This window comes from Homo sapiens, chromosome 3 (genome assembly GCF_000001405.40).
Source record: "Homo sapiens chromosome 3, GRCh38.p14 Primary Assembly".
NCBI classification, from domain to species: domain Eukaryota; kingdom Metazoa; phylum Chordata; class Mammalia; order Primates; family Hominidae; genus Homo; species Homo sapiens.
Window position 1 is genome coordinate 60665771 of NC_000003.12, and position 17845 is coordinate 60683615.

At 37.3% G+C, this 17845-nt stretch overlaps 1 protein-coding gene across 6 annotated transcripts in view, besides 2 other annotated features; it reads right to left on the reverse strand.

The window, feature by feature from the left end:
* FHIT (fragile histidine triad diadenosine triphosphatase) overlaps window positions 1-17845 on the reverse strand; it is a 1504176-nt gene that overhangs the window by 918494 nt on the left and 567837 nt on the right. The gene's annotated exons all lie outside the window — the stretch shown is intronic.
* Window positions 3761-4531: an enhancer, noted in NCBI's record as "OCT4-NANOG hESC enhancer chr3:60655264-60656034 (GRCh37/hg19 assembly coordinates)". NCBI's record gives its function as "activates a minimal SCP1, AML or CMV promoter by ChIP-STARR-seq in naive and primed H9 embryonic stem cells {active_cell/tissue: H9 hESC(naive and primed)}" and the evidence as "EXISTENCE:reporter gene assay evidence [ECO:0000049][PMID:30033119]".
* Window positions 6282-7105: an enhancer, noted in NCBI's record as "OCT4-NANOG hESC enhancer chr3:60657785-60658608 (GRCh37/hg19 assembly coordinates)". NCBI's record gives its function as "activates a minimal SCP1, AML or CMV promoter by ChIP-STARR-seq in naive and primed H9 embryonic stem cells {active_cell/tissue: H9 hESC(naive and primed)}" and the evidence as "EXISTENCE:reporter gene assay evidence [ECO:0000049][PMID:30033119]".

Below are 17845 nucleotides of genomic sequence, written 5' to 3' on the forward strand. Positions count from 1 at the left end.
GGTAACTATTGATAAGTTAGCATTTCACTATACCATTTCATTACTTGTTTTCTATTTGATTCCTCTGGTTCTCATTCCTCTGTTTCTCTTTTCTTGCCTTCCTGTGTGTAACCTAAACATTTTTTAGGATTTCATTTTGATATACAGTGTTTTGGGAAGTACTTCTTTGTATAGTTTTCACTGTGGTTTCCCTGAGTACTAAAACCTAATATGTGACTTGTTACAGGCTACATTATCAACATTTAACTAGTTTGAAACTTCACTCCCATTTAAATCTCTTGTCCTTCCCATTTTTCAATAACATTGAATTGAGTATCAGATGGTATTATAATTTTTGTTTTAATCATCAAACATGATTTATAAAACTCAAAGAGAAAAGAACAGTTTATTGTATGTACCCACAAATGTCTTTCCAATGTTCTTTCTTCCTTCCTAATCCTCTAAGATTTCATCTTGTATTGTTTCCTTTCTGTTTAAAGAACTTTCTTTAGCCAATCTTTAAGAGTAGGTCTGCTAGCAACAAATTCATTTACTTTTCCTTCATCTGAGAATGTTTTTATTTCCTCTTCACTCTGGAAGTATAGTTTTTCCAGACATAGAATTTACAGTTGATAATTCTTTCAGTACTTGAAAAATATTGTGGCATTTCCTTCTCATCTCCATTTTATGAGAAATCTGCTGTCATTTGAATTGGTATTCCTCTATAGGTAATGTGTCATTTCTCTTACTGCTTTCAAGATTTCTTCAGTATATTTTATTTTTAAAAGATTAATTATGATATATCATAGCACAGATTTCATTGGGATTACGTGTGGGGTTCATTCAGCTTCTTGAAGCTGTAGGTTTCTGTCTTTCACCAAATTAGTTAAGTTTTCAGTCATCATTTCTTCAAATACTCGTGTTTATTTGTTTGTTTGAGACAGGATCTCCCTCTATCACCCAGGCTGGAGTATAGTGGCACAATCACAGCTCACTGCATGCAGCCTTGACCTCATAGGTGCAAGAAATCCTCCTGCCTCAGCCTCCTGAGTAGCTGGGACCACAGGTGTGCATCACCATGCCCAATTTATCTTTTTCTTTTTTCTTTTCTTTTCTTTTTTTTTTTTTTTGAGACAGAGTCTCACTTTATTATACAGGGCAGTGACATAATCAAGGCTCACTGCAACCTCTGCCTCCTGGGCTCAACCAATCCTCTCACCTCAGCCTCCTGAGTAGCTGGGACTACAGGTGTGCACCACCATGCCTGGTTAATTTTTTTTTTTTTTTTTTTTTTTTTTTTTGGTAGAGACAGGGTTTTACCATTTTGCCTAGGCTGGTCTTGAACTCCTGAGCTCAAGCAATATGGCCACCTCAGCCTCCCAAAATGCTGAGATTACAGGCATGAGCCACCATGTCTGGCTGTCAGCTAATCAAATACTCTTTCAGTCCCATTATCTTTATCCTCTTCTGGGACTCCAATGACATGAATGTTGGGCCATTTGTCATTGTCTCACAGATCTCTGGGGTCCTGTTCATTTTTTCAGTCTATTTTTGGTCTATTGCTCTGATTGGGTGGATTCCATTGTTTTGTCCTCAAATTTAGTAATTCTACCCTCTCTTATCTCTAATTAACAGTAGATAGTCTAACCTATCGTTAATACTATCCAGCACTATTTTTATTTCTGTTATTTTTTATTTCTAGAATTTTTATTCAGTTGTTTTATAACTTCTATTTCTTTTCTAATATTTTCTATTTTAAAAAATTGTATCAAAAATTTGCAGCTGCTTTATAGGTCATTTATATGACAGATGCTTTAAAATTATTGTCAGATAATTCCAATATCTGATTCATCTTGGTGTTTGTGTCAGTTGATTGTCTTTTCTCATTCAATTTGTGATTTTCTTGGTTCTTGGTATGAAGGATAATTTTTTATTGAATCCTGGGCATTTTGCCTATTATGATAGGAGAGACTAGGTCCTATTTAAGTCTTTCGTTGTAAGTCAGTAACCCTGTTAAATTAATCATGTGGGTCTTGGCTACTTTTATCAGCTGTGGCTCCAGTGGCACTCTAATTTTCACAGACTTTGAGGTGTTATTTTGTTCTGCTTGATTAATCTGGTTGCAAGAGGCCACTGGTTCCTGCCTCTACCCCACTGCCTTGTGGGGCAGAACAGATTTCCCCACACTGGGCCTCAGGTATCTCTCAGTGGGAGAGGAATACGGTGGGGTCTGCCATCTGCCTCAGTGTCTTTGGGCAGGGAAGGAGAGTCTCAGGCATGTGAGAACAAAGAGGCTTCCTAGAATTGGCCACTTTTTGTGGTTGCATCCTTGTTGCTGGTTATGTCTTCTTGCCCCAGTGACTCTAGACAGGGGAGGATCATTTGAGGCACACAGAGAAAAAGAGGCTTCCCTGACAGTATTATTTGCTATAGTTCATTCTTTTTTTACGTGTTCTGCCTGCCCACTTCAGTATTTCTTGGTGGAAAGGGAGAGTCTCAGGGCTGAGGGAGAGCAGAGTCCTTCCTCTGGCCAATTATTTTTGGCGAGGCTTCCAATTAATCTCTTTGGCTGGTAGCGTTGAACTTGTCTGATAGTTCCAGAGGGACATCCGCTCAATCAGGAAAAAAAAAAAAAAAAAAAAAAAAAATCAGCCTCCCTGAGCTGCTTCTTGTTGCCAGGCTTGGACTTAGGAAACACTCAGTTAGGAAACACTCGGTCTAGGTGACCATCTTCTGTTGGGTTGGGACACTCTAAACACTCTGCTACTGTGCTGTTCCTCCAGGCCTAGGGAGGCCAGCTCATTCTTTTTTTTTTTTTTTTTTTTTTTTTGAGACGGAATCTCGCTCTGTCGCCCAGGCTGGAGTGCAGTGGCACGATCGCTTCTCACTGCAAGCTCCGCCTCCCAGGTTCACGCCATTCTCCTGCCTCAGCCTCCCAAGTAGCTGGGACTACAAGTGCCCACCACTACGCCTGGCTAATTTTGTTTTTGTATTTTTAGTAGAGACGGGGTTCCACCGTGTTAGCCAGGATGGTCTCGCTCTCCTGACCTCATGATCCACCTGCCTCGCCCTCCCAAAGTGCTGGGCTTACAGGCGTGAGCAAACCAGCTCATTCTTACTGTCTTTCAGCGCTCTCATTTGGTTGTCTCTTGTACCATTACCAGAGTTGGTAGTTGTTCTTAGCAGGAAAAAGCAGGGGAAAATGGGTCTACATCATCTTTTCTGGACCAGAAATCTGTTTATTATATTTTAATTGCATATTTCCATTCATTTTTTGGCAATTAACCCTTTTAGATCTTATTATAATTATTTGTGTACATCCACGGATTTGAAACATCTTGGTAATTTATCTTTGTGTATTTTACAGTGCCTTGAACAAAGCAGATTCTTCCTTAAAGGTACTTATACATGAATGAATGTTCATGCATATTTTCTCTGGGGCTGTACAATGGAACAAGACCTACCTGTTAAAAGAGTGGTTGTTGGTAGAATGTAAACATGACTTATAAGTGTTCATCCTTGCAAATGGACATAGGAGTAACAGGGAGAAACTTGCTTAATGTGATTTACAGAAACCTGGTTCAGAACATAGGCTCACTTGGTCATCACTTCCCTCTGGTCATCACAATCTCACAATCATTTTTCTGCTTTCAGCAGATGGGAACATGTGATAATGCTGTGACAGATTTCCCCACCATTACTTCCTAAAGCCATTACCCGCTTCTAGCTTAAAACCTTGAACACACAAACACACACATATATACACACTAACATACACATACATGTATGTTTCAAGCATCCAAGATAGGAAGTAGGGGAACATGATGAATTTTCTTTTCTAGAAATAAAACAATCATTTGTCCAATGAAAGATGAGCATAAAACACCCATACCTAATAACAAATGGCACAGAACAACATTGCTGGGAATCCCCAAATAGACCTCACGAAAACATCACTGAAGATTGCATGTGAGAGCTAGAAGGCCTCAGGCAGGGAATGCCATGGAATGTAAGACCAGGCCCCTGCTGGGGCTCAGAAATAGGAATGATAGAAAAGCAAGCAGGAAGAGACCCTGGGCAATTGAGTTCTCCCACTGAGCAAGAAAGAATTGAAAATAACAGCATTAGGCAGGAAAACAATGGATGCCTGACCTCCCATTTAACCATTGTAATCATGCATTGTTATCAATTGGCTTGGTCTTTTAAGATTCCTAGTCACTTGTCCCTCATATCTGTGGCACATACTTATCACTGTGTGGATTTGCTTTTTGGCAAACAGAAGTTTTAATTTTTAATGGAGTCAAATCTATTACTCTTTTCAGAAACGATCTTTCTCTTTGTCTTCAAGTTTATGAAGTCCCCTCTCACTCCAGTAGGGATAAATACTCATTTCTATTCTGGGTTTCTAATGATTGATTTTATACATTTATTTATTGCTTTAATCCAGCTGGAATTAACATTAGCATATGGTGTAGGAAGACTGTAATTCTTCCAACTCTAATGCATTCTTGATAAGTAAAAAATAGGATTTCCTACAGTAGAAAACTCAGCCTAGAAACCTGCCTTTCAGTATCCTGAGGCAGGAATGGAGTGAATGAGGCACTTTCCTCAAACCTAAAAACCTCATCCTGTTTTACTGGGGACTTGGGATAACCTTCTTTATTTCTCAGTGTCTCCTCCTTTGTGTACAGTAGCGACACAAATATCCACTGTGTTTCCAAAGAGAAGTCAAGTGCTTAAGCTCCTCAAATTTTCTGAGTACATTCTATGTAGAGGATTTTCCATTACTGGTTACACTTAATACACAGGGCCTTGCTGGAGAATGTGACCAGGAGAACTAGAACTTCAGAAAACACAAAATGAGCTATCAAAGGCTTGGCACTTTGTAGGGGTGTAATCAGAAGAAAAACGAGTCCTAATATTTAGAACACATTAGATGTAACCTCTTAAACTCCAAAGTTCTCTTCAAATCTTACCTATTTAATTTGAAAGCAAGCAATGTTCCAGTGTTAACATTTCTGATTTGGGGGATGCCAGATAGTGAAATTTGGATTAAACAGAGGGAATTTATAGTCTTATTCTAATTAATAAATGGACTTAACGGGGTTCTGAAAATAAAACAACCTCATAATTAGTTGGTAATTAACATAGCTAAGAGCCAGGTAGAACTGTCCAACCTGTGTCATATTCTCACAGGTGTGCCCACAAAATACAATATTATATAGAATAAATACATTGCCCACCTTCATTCATCCAGCAAGATGTACTGACTTTTCACTGTAGGCATGAACCTGAAGGGAATTAAAAATGAAGGATGGTCCTTGCTCTCACAAAAGCTGCCAAATTGGGTACACTCACTCAGTGTCTTCAAGGAACACATGGTCAGGTTTCTAGATTATGCTTAACTAGATTGGGAGAGTGGATTACCCTCAGAATACCCTTGATAAAAGCTTTCAAAATTTTCCTTTACTCACAAAACCATGTTTTCAGGGAACCTAAACAGAAGTCCAATATATAAGATAGAATAATAGATAAAAGTATAAATTATTTGGTCAAATGAGGACTACTAGTGTTCTCAAAACACTACCCCACTTCCAAAATACACACATACACACACACACACAATTCCTGGAACTTTACAGAGTAGAGTTTCAAAATCACTGCAGCTGATGAATTGACAAATAGAAAGAAGGGGTAACAGATAGGTACAAATGTAATATAATAAACACAATAGAATGTTAATGTTAGACACCAAGCGGTGGTTACACAGGGTGTTCACTATAAAATTACTTCAGTTTTCATATACGTTTAATTTTTTCATAATACAATATTGAAAAAAAAATCCCGCTCTTGATTCCTATATCTGAAAGTTCTTAAAGTTTTAGTTGAGTAAACATTTAGAATTATTGGCCGGGTGCAGTGGCTCATGCCTGTAATCCCAGCATTTTGGGAGGCTGAGGCAAGTGGATCACCTGAGGTCAGGAGTTCGTGACCAGCCTGACCAACATGGTGAAACCCCATCTCTACTAAAAAAAAAAAAAAACACAAAAATTAGCCGGGTGTAGTGGCAGGCACCTGTAATCCCAGCTACTTGGCAGGCTGAGGCAGCAGAATCACTTGAAACCAGGAGAAGAAGATTGCAGGGAGCTGAGACCATGCCATTGCACTCCATCCTGGGCAACAAGAGCAAAACTCTGTCTTGAAAAAAAAATTGGAATTATTATTTGTTCTTAATTGACCCCTTTATCATTATGATATGTCCCTCTTTATCTTTGGTAAACCTTCTTGTCTTAAAGTTTACTTTGTGTAATTGATGTAGCCACATTGGCTTTCTAAAAATTATTTCTATAACATATATTTGTATTCCTTTTACTTTTAACTCTTTGTGTTTTTGTATTTAAAGTGCATATGTTGTAGTCAGCATATTATTGGGTTTTATTTATTTTGTATCTTTCATGCACGTCCGTGTGAAGAGACCACCAAACAGGCTTTGTGTGAGCAACATGGCTGTTTATTTCACCTGGGTGCAGGCGGGCTGAGTCCAAAAAGAGAGTTAGCGAAGGGAGATAAGGGTGGGGCCATTTTATAGGATTTGGGTAGGTAAAGGAAAATTACAGTCAAAGGGGGTTTGTTCTCTGGCTGGCAGGAGTGGGGGTCGCAAGGTGCTCAGTGGGGGTGCTTTTTGAGCCAGGATGAGCTAGGAAAAGGACTTTCACAAGGTAATGTCATCACTTAAGGCAAGGACCAGCCATTTACACTTCTTTTGTGATGGAATGTCATCAGTTAAGGTGAGGCAGGGCATATTCACTTCTTTTGTGATTCTTCAGTTACTTCGGGCCATCTGGGCGTATACGTGCAAGTCACAGGGGATGCGATGGCTTGGCTTGGGCTCAGAGGCCTGACAGTATCCATATTGACAATCTATGACTATTAATTGGGACATTTAGTCCATTTATATTTAATGTAATGATATAATTCAGTTTTAAGTCTACCATCTGAATATTTATGCCATCTTTTTTTGTTTCCTTCTTCCTTCTTTCTTGCCTTCTTTCTGTTAAAATGCATATTTCTAAAGTTTCCATCTTTATACCACTATTAGGGTTTTTAATTATACCTCTTTGTAGCGTGTGTGTGTGTGTGTGTGTGTGTGTGTGTGTGCATGCATGCTCTAGGACTAACAATATGCATCCTTATCTTATCAAAATCTACCTAAAATTAATATTATACTATCTCATGTAAAATATAAGAACCTGACATTTATTACTTCCTTGTCCATTATGCTGTCACATGTTTTACTTCTATTTGCATTATAATCCTTTCAATACATTGTCATGAGTTTTGCTTTAAATAGTAAGTTACCCCGTAAGAGCTTAACAGAAAATAAAGACGGTTTAAAAATATATATATTATTCCATATATTTACCATTTCTGTGCTCCTCATTCCTTCCTGTTAATCTGTTTCCATTTGCTTTCACTTTCTTTTAGGCTGAAGAATTTGCTTTAACATTTCTTATAATGCGGGTTGACTAGCAGTACATTTTCTTAGGTTTTGTTTATCTAAAACTTAGGTTTTGTTTATGCAGCCATAAAAAGGAATTAGATCATGTCCTTTGCAGGGGCATGGATAGAGCTGGAAGAGATCATCCTCAACAAGCTAACACAGGAACAGAAAACCAAACACTGCATGTTCTCACTCATAAGTGGGAGCTGACCAATGAGAACACATGGCCACAGGGAGGGAAACAACACACACTGGGGCCTGTCTGGGGTGGGATGGGGGGCAGCGGTGGGAGGGAGAGCATCAGGATAAATAGCTAATGCATGTGTGGCTTAATACCTAGGTGATGGTTTGATAGGTACAGCAAACCACCATGGCAAATGTTTACATATGTAACAAAGCTACACATCCTGCACACGTTTCCCAGAATTTAAAATAAAATAAATTTAAATTTAAAAAAAGAATTTAAAAATGTCATTCTATTGTCTTCTGGCTTGAATAGTTTTTATTTAGGAGTCTAAAATAACTCTTACTGTTGTTCTCCTATATGTAATGTCTCTCCACTCCTCCCATCCTCAGCAGCTTTTTTCTTTACTTTTGGATTTTTATCAGTTGGCCGTCATACATCCAGGTATGGTTTTCTTTGTTTTTATCCTGCTTTGGTTTGCTAAACATCTTCAACCTGTAGTTTGATTTTTTCACTATATTTGGGAAAATTTGTTCATTTTTTTAAACTATTTTTTTTCCTCCCTCATTCTCTCTATCCTCATTTCTGGACCTCAAATTGTACAAATGTTAGACTTCTCGCTTTTGCCCCACAGATCACTGAAGATTCATATATTTTTTCTATTTTTTCCTCCTGTTCTTCAGATCAGACAATTTCTACTGATCTGTCTTAAAGTTTCCTGATCTTTTCTGTAGTTTCTAATATGTTGCTAAGGCCATTCAGTAAACTTTTCATTTTGGAAATTATTATTTGCAGTTCTATAATATAGATTTGTTTCTTTTTTATAGTTTACATTTGTTTCTCTGAGATTTCCCGCCTCTTCATTTTATGTCACCCATTTTATGTCAAGTCCTTGAATATACTTATCTAGTTATTTTAAATTCCTCATTTTCTAATTCTAATGTCTGAGTTATTTCAAAGTCTGTTTCTATTTATTGCTTTTTTCTGATTAATGGAGCTTCCTCTTCACACATCCAGTAATTTTTTTGTTGTATGCTAAACACAGGGCGACACATTTAGGGAATCTGCATTATATTGTCTTCCTTATAGGGTACTGAGTTTTTTTCTGGCAGGAAATTACATTTCTAAAATATTCTCTTGAACCTTTCATTGTTAGAACTGGTCTAGTTCAAATTTGTCCTTAGTTGTAGAACACAGCCTTATGGTAGTGTACAGGTCTCACTCCTGAGGCTGGCCTTTCTGGGGTTTCAACTGAATGCCCAGGTTCTCAGGGAAATCTGCCCTCTCAGACTAAGAATTCCAACGTCTCCCATCTCTGGGCAACCACTAGTGTCTTTGTTCGGCTCTTGGTCCCACAGTGAACCCTCTCTGCTAGGCCTCATGGTGTCTTGCCCTGCTTATACATAGTCAATCCTTCAGACAATGACCTGCAAAGAAACCTCCATGTACACTACCTCCACATGCCCTACCTCATGCATCTCTCTTATTCAGTACCCTACTCTGCTAATTCCAGCCCCTCAGCAGCAACAAAGTACAAACTCTGCCTTATCAGTTCATTGAAACAAGCATGTAATGCTTGGCCCCACCTCCTTACTAGCCAGTCCAGTGAATGCACCCCTAGGCAGAAAGCCAAGGTGAATGCAAGGCTTGCCTCAGGGGTTTACCTTGTCTCAAGGGTCACAGCCCTGCATTGCCTGTTAGCCAATTTCTGAAAACAGTTGCCGCATACATTTTATCTAATTTTATAGTTATTCATGAAATGAGGTCAAGAATGATACCAGTTACTTCATTGTGGCTTGAAAACTAAAATGCTTTAGTATCTCTCTCCACTACCACCATCAACACTTGAACTTTACAAATGATCCTATTTATTCTACCACCTGCTACTAAATGATGAAAAATAATTATCAAGTGAGTTGCCGAGGCTTCCTGCTCTTATTTCTCTTACCATGTTCTCAGATATCTGACTGCTAGCTAATGTCTCTGCCCGGGAACAAAAGAAGCCAGAGAAGGAGAAAGAGGAAGCTCAAGTTCTCCCATATTCTCTCTTTTCAAAAGTTACGAAGAGTAGAAAATAGTTTAACAAGGAAGTTTAGAGATTACATGAAAATTGTAATGAGTCTGATGCACCAGCTTCCAATACCGTCATCACAACCAGCCCTTCCTTGGTGGTAGTTATGTATTGGTTGCACCTGATACCTAAGCAGTAGTCTGCTCTCTTTTGCAATAAATCACATCTGTCTCTATGATAGACTCTGACCTCAGCCTACCAACAGCATGTTTTTTAATGACACTGGCTTGCAAATGCATCTGATTTGAAATAAACTTTCTTTGTACCATTTTTAGGTTCTGTACTTTTGAATAAAGGTGCAATCACAGCAAATCAAATTCTCAGAAGACTACAATAAGTAAACATTAAGCAGTGTTCCTTTTTGAAAGCAGGAGAGAGTATATGTTTAGGAATGTTCAAGGATTAGTCTGGTTCTTTTTTAAGTTTTTATTTATTGATTTTATCTTAACAGCAAAATACAATGCCTGGCTAGAGCCTTTAAATACAGATAAACAATCCAAACAAGCTGCAACTTACGTATATCAATCTTCTAAGATCACCTCAGAAAAGAGAAGGTGGCTCCCAACTTGTCCCAAGTTAAATACATTTAAGAGAAGCAAATGGGAATAGCAGCTAAAGCTGACGGACAGGGCAATTCGAGGCATCAGATGCTCCCTTTCAGGTTGCTGAGATGCTTCCAGATGGTTCCTGTATCTGCATGGCCAAAGTGGTATAATTTATTTTCTTAGCTTTTTCAATCTCTCTGCATATTACATCACAATTTTAGCTCAAGTTTATTTTTGTTGTGTGTATTTGACAATCCTTTGGTGGTGTGGAACTTAAATCATCACTTCCCAGAGCAAGAAAACAAAGGCTGACACTTCTGATATAGAAGGCTGCAATCTGGAAAGGACGATGGTTGGAAGGGCAGGTGGATGATTGGGACCACCACTAGGTTTATTCTTTATTTGTTCAACATGTTTTCATTAAATTAGGGTACAGAGGTGGACAAGTCAGAAGCAGTCTCTCTCATTATGGAGTTTACACTCTACCAGAGGTGAGAATGGAGGACTTAAAGGTAGACAAAAATGCCTAATGTGTCACCTAGAGAACACAACCAAAAATGAGTTACCCAACAACTTCATACAGCTGCTACCTGCAGTTAGTATGTACATGCCAGGTAAGCTAGGAAGAGGCCTACAGCCTCTCCTGGAAAATCTTGGGAGACCAAATAGGTTTTGATCTTGACCATTCCCTGAAAATCCTCATCTATAATCTTCAAATGCAAGAAGGAACCAGGAGGTGCCATTATGTTTCACCACAAGAACTCATTTTTTTTAATTACTGTTTTTTTCTTTTAGTGAGCATAATTTTTTCTTTTGTTGTTATTGTTGTTATTGTTGTTTTTGAGACAGGGTCTCATAATGTCACCTAGGCTGGAATGCCGTGGCGCCATCTTGGCTCACTACAACTTCCGCCTCCTGGGTTCAAGGGATCCTCTCACCTGAGCCTCCATAGTAGCTGGGATTACAGGCATGTGGCACCATGCCCAGCTAATTTTTGTATTTTTTTGGTAGAGGTGGTGTTTTGCCATGTTGCCCAGGCTAGTCTCCAACTCCTGGGCTCAATTGATCTGCCCGCCTGGGCCTCCCAAAGTGTTTGGATTACAGGCATGAGCCACTGTGCCCAGCCAATTTTTTAATTACGTAAATTAAAGGGGTACAAGTGCAGTTTTGTTATATGGATATACCGCATAGTGGTCAAGTCTGGGCTTTTAATGTAATCAACACCTAAATAGTGTACATTGTACTACCTCACTCCCCTCCCACCCCATCATCATTCTGAGTCTCCAGTGACTATTATTCTATACTCTATGTCTACATACACACATTATTCAGCTCCCACGTGTGAGGACATGTGGTATTTCACTATGTTTCTGAGTTTTTTCACTTAAGATAATGACCTCCTATTCCATCCATGTTGTTGTAAAAGACATGTTTTCATTCATTTTCTGTGGCTGAATAGTATTCTATTATGTATACATATATACACACACATATACATAAATAAAATGTGCTGTATGTATATATGTGTATATGTATATACATGTGGTGTGTGTGTATATATGTGTATACATATGTATATGTGTATGTGTGTGTGTATATATATACATATGTATACACTTATATACACACACAGAGCACATTTTCTTTATTTAATCATCTTGATTTTTTTGGAAGAGTTTCAGTAGGATGAGTATCAGTTCTTCTTTGCACATTTTGTAGAATTTGGCTATGAAGCCATCCAGTCCTGGGCATTTTAGGGGGAAGGTTTTAAAATTATTGATTCAATCTTACTATTCATTATTGGTCTGTTTAAGATTTCTATTTCTTTCTGGTTCAATCTTGGGCAGTCATATGTTTACAAGAATTTGTCAATTTCCTCTACATTATCTAGATTGTGAGTGTACACTTCTTCATAGTAGTCTCTGATCATCTTTTGTATTCCTATGGTATCATTTGTAATGTCTTCTTTTTCATTTCTGACTTTTATTTGGATCTTTTCTTGGTTAGTACAGCCAGAGGCTTATCAATTTTGTTCATCTTTTCAAAAAACCAACTTTTTGTTTAACTTATCCTTGGTATTGTTATCTTGGTTTTCATTTTCATTTTATTTTTATTTTTAACAACCAATTTATATCATTCAAACAGATAGAACTGCCTTGTGCTTGTTTCAGCCTTGTTTTCTGGTTATTAAAAGAAGACCTGAACCAGATACAAATTCACCATATTTTCCTTCAAGGACACTTCTCATAAAAGCTACTAATATGCATATTTTGGCATACAAAATCACATTTGCTAAAACTTTTTTCTGCTTAAATACAATTCTTTTTTCATTTAGCAACTGCATGTTATTATAGAGGTCAATTCATTGGGTTATAAGAGAAAAGAAACACTTATTGAAGATTCACAACATACATTCCATTATATATCGCTGTTCAATAGAATGCAAAATTAGTAAATATCACCCCTACAATTGGACCATGTAACTGATAGATTTTCCTGTAAGGAGTTACCAAAATGTCATCAAAATCTAGAGTTTGACAATTTCCAGGCCTTATCCTGACCTTCTCAATGCAAGTTGCACAAATGAAATCAGTTATCCAAGAGAAAAACTGGGATAGAAATAGGGGTTAATAGATTATGATCCTAAGTTGAAAAATACAGAGCTCTCAGTTTCCAAGATTTACCATTTTCAAGTGTCCCTAATTTTGTCCCAAGAGTGGCTCCAGCCTGGGCATGACAGCTGGCTGTAATGGGGACAGATAGCTCTTTCTTTCTAAGAACAAGATTTACCATTTGTTTTGTCTGCTCTCTCCACAAGCTCTTCCTGAAACATATCAGTGGCATAATAAATATCATCTCGTTTTCCATCTTAAGGACTTTAGTACTCAAAGGTAACTGTTTTGAGTCCTTAAAAAAAAAAAACAAGCAAAAAAAAAAGTGGTTTGCAAACTTTTGTCTGTGACATAACACCAAAGCCGTAGTAAAGTCAATGATAATAATAATAATAGGTACTTACTTGGGCTAGGGACTGTGCTAGGCTTCTTTTCATTCATTATCTCATTTAATATTCACAGTTCCTACATGGCTTAGTATTTCTTGCAGACCCTTTAAATGCTTACATATAGAAATCTGCCCTACTATTTCAAGTATAGGCAGAAGTTGGCAATACAAGAAAAGACAAAGGGATAAGAATCCGTCCAACTGGACAAAACAACTTCAATCCTTAAAAAGTCCTACCCATTTTAGAAACAGGTCAATGAAGCTACCTGTTATGATTGTAGAAGTCATGTCTGCTTACTGCACCTAATTTGAGAATTACAGAAAAACATTTTTAAAAATCACATATTATTCTATCACTCAGAGATAAACATTGATAGTGTTTTTATAGTTCCCAGTCTTATTTATATATTTGCCTTCTTTTTTTGCTATTTGTTTAATTTTTAAACCAAATTCGGATTACATAGCAATGCAATTTTCCCATATTATTAGATATAATTTTTGAAAGATTTTAAAACACTACCTTATGTTCCATAATTTATTTAACAATTTCACTGTTTACTGACAGATAATTTAGAGTACTTAATTATTCTATAAATACTATAATACCAAAGTATAATAATGAATTTTTGCCTGCATCTCTATTTCTTTAAGAAAGATTTCTATAAATGAGATTACTAGATCAAAAAACATTAAAAAATTCTTTTTCTAGGGAGAATATCCCCATGCCCAATTCCACTACATTTGCCAACTAGCTGAAAATGATGGGGTTTTTTTTGCATGTTTTAAATTGTTATATAATGGTATTAGATTGCATTCTTCTGAAACTCATTTTCAAAACATCTTTACTCAACATATATTTATAGTTATTCTTGTTACTATATGTTGTTTTTACTCATTCTTTTTTTGCTTTTCGAAAATCGTCTCTTAGTTGAATAATAATATTTATGTATTAGCTATTGGTGAACATGTACGTTTTCCTGAATTATCAAAAAGATACTATTGTAAGTATGTTGTGCACATTCCCCTTGGCATGTGGGCCATGGGAGTTGCATGTCTTCAACTATTCTGGATGATGCCACACTATATTCCACAGTGGCTGTACCAGTTTGCTCTGTGAATGATAATCTTCATTGCTTTACAACCTCTCCAACACCTAGAATTGTTAGATTTATTTTTCCCTTTAATTTTGACAATTGGATAGATGTAAAAAGCTATACTGTGCTGATTTTAGAAGGCATTTCCTGATTACTTTTGCAGTTGTACATTCTTTCATTCATTAATTGTCCATTTCTGTTGCTTCTCCAATTTATGTTTCTTCAGACCCCTTAGTTATTTTTCTATTGATTTTTATTTCTGATTACTTGTTTGTATTAACTCTTTTTATATTTCATATTAATTTTCTACTATGAAACATTCTGCAAATACAGGCATAACCTGAATGATGTTGCCTCGATTAACATTTTCATGGTAAAATGACTCTTGGTTTTTAAAATCCAAATTTCATCATCTATTTTTTTTTTTTTGCCAATGTTCATGTAGCAAAACTTTAGATTTATAATACCAAACTCTGCAAAACTTTCAATAAAAGGAAATATAGGAAAATCATCAAGATATTTTCAAAACATATTCAGTAGAACATCAGAATAATATATAGATATTTTGGAAAGCAAGCTGAGTGACAACACACGAAACACCCATTTCAGAAGTTGCTGATGCTAAAAGGCCATCATACCATCAGTGTGAGCCACACTTGGCCACCAGGCACTAGAGCACATTTCCCAGTGCCTTCCCCATTTTACTTTTTTTGCTTATTGTTGAAATCCCCAAATTGTTGAGAAAACACTGAAGACAATTGTAGAGAAGAAAACAAAACAAGTGAGAATAGCTACTACGTACAAAGCAAACATTTTATAACATGTTAATTGTAGAAGTCATCAAGGATATAATTTTTTTAAGTACAAGTGATCGAGGATATAATTTTTTTAAGTACAGGCATACCTTGTTTTACTGCACTTTGTTTCATTGCACTTCACAGATAATGTGGTTTTACAAGTTGAAGGTTTGTGGCAACTTTGCATCTAGCAAGTCTATTGGCACCATTTTTCCAACAGCACGTGTTCATTTCACGTCTATGTATCACAATTTGGTAATTCTCCCAATATTTCAAACTAATTCATTATTATTATGTCTGTTGTGGTGATCTGTGATCAGTGATCTTAGATGTTCCTATTGTAAGTGTTATGGAGCCCAATATAAGATGGTGAACTTTATCAGTAAATGTTTGTGTGTTCTGACTGCTGCACTGACTAGCCATTTTTCCCTCTCCTCAGGCTTCCCTATTCCCTGAGACACAACAAATTGAAATTAGTCCAACTAATAAGCAGACAACAGCTTCTAAGTGTTCAAGTGAAAGGAAGAGTCCCATGTCTCTCCCTGTAGATCAAAAATTAGAAATGATTAAGCTTGGCGAGGAAGGCATGTCAAAAGCTGAGCTAGGATGAAAGCTAGGCCTCTTGCACCAAATAGCCAAGTTGTGAATGCAAAGGAAAAGTTCTTGAAGGAAATTAAAAGTGCTACTCCAATGAACATACAAATGATAAGAAAGTGAAACAGGCTTGTTGAGGATATGGGAAAGTTTGAGTGGTCTGGATAGAAGATCAAACTAGCCACAACATTCCCTTAACCCAAGGCTTAAACCAGAGAAAGGCCCTAACTATATTCAATTCTATGAAGGCTAAAAGAGGTAAAGAAGCTGCAGAAGAAAAGTTTGAAGATAGCAGAGGCTGATTCATGAGGTTCAAGGAGAGAAGCCATCTCCAGAACATAAAAGGCAAAGCAGGAAGTGCTTATATAGATGCTGCAGCAAGTTATCCAGAAGATCTAGCTAAGATAACTAATGAAGGTGGCTACACTAAACAGCAGATTTTTTTTTTTTTTTTGAAACATAGTCTCACTCTGTCACTAGGGCTGGAGTGCAATGGTGCGATCTCAGCTCACTGCAACCTCTGCCTCCCGGGTTCAAGCAATTCTCCTGCCTCAGCCTCCCAAGTACCTGGGATTACAGGTGCCCACCACTACGCCCTGCTAATTTTTTGTATTTTTAGTAGAGACATGGTTTCCCCATGTTGGCTAGGCTGGTCTCGAACTCCTGACCTCATTATTTGCCTGCCTCGGCCTCCCACAATGCTGGGATTACAGGGGTAAGCCACCACACCCGGCCAAAGGCAGATTTTCAAGAGAGATGAAACAGCCCTCTGTTGGAAGAAGATGCCATCTAGGATTTTCCTAGCTAGAGAGGAGAAGTCGATACCTGGCTTCAAATCTTCAAAGAACAGGCTGATTCTTTTGTTAGCTGCTAACGCAGCTGGTGACTTTAAGTTGAAGCCAATGCTCATTGACCATTCTGAAAATGCTAAGGCCCTTAAGAATGATACTACACCAACTCTTCATGTTCTCTGAAAAGAAACAGGAAAGCCTAGATGACAGTACATCTGTTTATAGTATGGTTTACTGAATATTTTAAGCCCTCTCTTGAGACCTATTGCTCAGAAAAAAGATTCCTTTCAAAATATTACTGCTCACTGAAAATGTACCTGGTCACCCAAGAGTTCTGATGGAGATGTAAAAGGAAATGAATGTTGTTTTCATGCCTGCCAACACAGCATCCATTCTGCAGCCCATGGGTGAAGGAGTAATTTTGACTTTCAAGTCTCATTATTTAAGAAATACATTTGTAAGACTATACATAGTGATTTATCAGATTGATCTGGGCAAAGTAAAATGAAAACCTTCTGGAAAGGATTCACCATGCTGGATGTCATTGAGAACATTCATGATTTATGGGAGGACAACAAAATATTAACATGAAAAGGTGTTTGGGAGAAGTTGATTCCAACTCTCATGGATGACTTTGAGGGGTTCAAGACTTCAGTGGAGGAAGGAGCTGAAGATGTGGAAGAAATAGCGACAACTAGAATCAGAAGTAAAGCTTGAAGATGTGACTGAATTACTGTAATTTTACAATAAAACTTGAATGAGTGAGGAGTTGCTTCTTACGGGTAAGCAAAGAAAAGGATTTCTTGAGGTAAAATCTACTCCTGAAGAAGATGTTATGAACATCGTTGAAATGACAACAAAAGCTTTAGAATATTACATAAACTTAGTTGATAAAGAAGGGTTGGAGAGGATTCACTCATTTTGAAAGGAGTTTTATTGTGGGTAAAATGCTGGCAAACAGTGCTGTATGCAACAGAGAAGTCATTCGTGAAAGCAAGAAGCCACTGATGTTGAAAACTTTACTGTTTTCTTACTTTAACAAATTGCCACAGCCACTTCTGCCCTCAACAACCACCAGTCTGATCAGTCGGCAGCCATAAATATCAAGGCAAGACCCTCCACCAGCAGAAAGATTATGACTTACTGAAGGCTCAAATGATCACCAGTATTTTTAGCAAAAAAAATTTTTAAATTAAGATAACATATTTTTTTATAATGCTATTGCATACTAGACTACTATAGACTGTAAACACAACTTTTATATTCACTGGGAAACAAAAAAGTTTGTG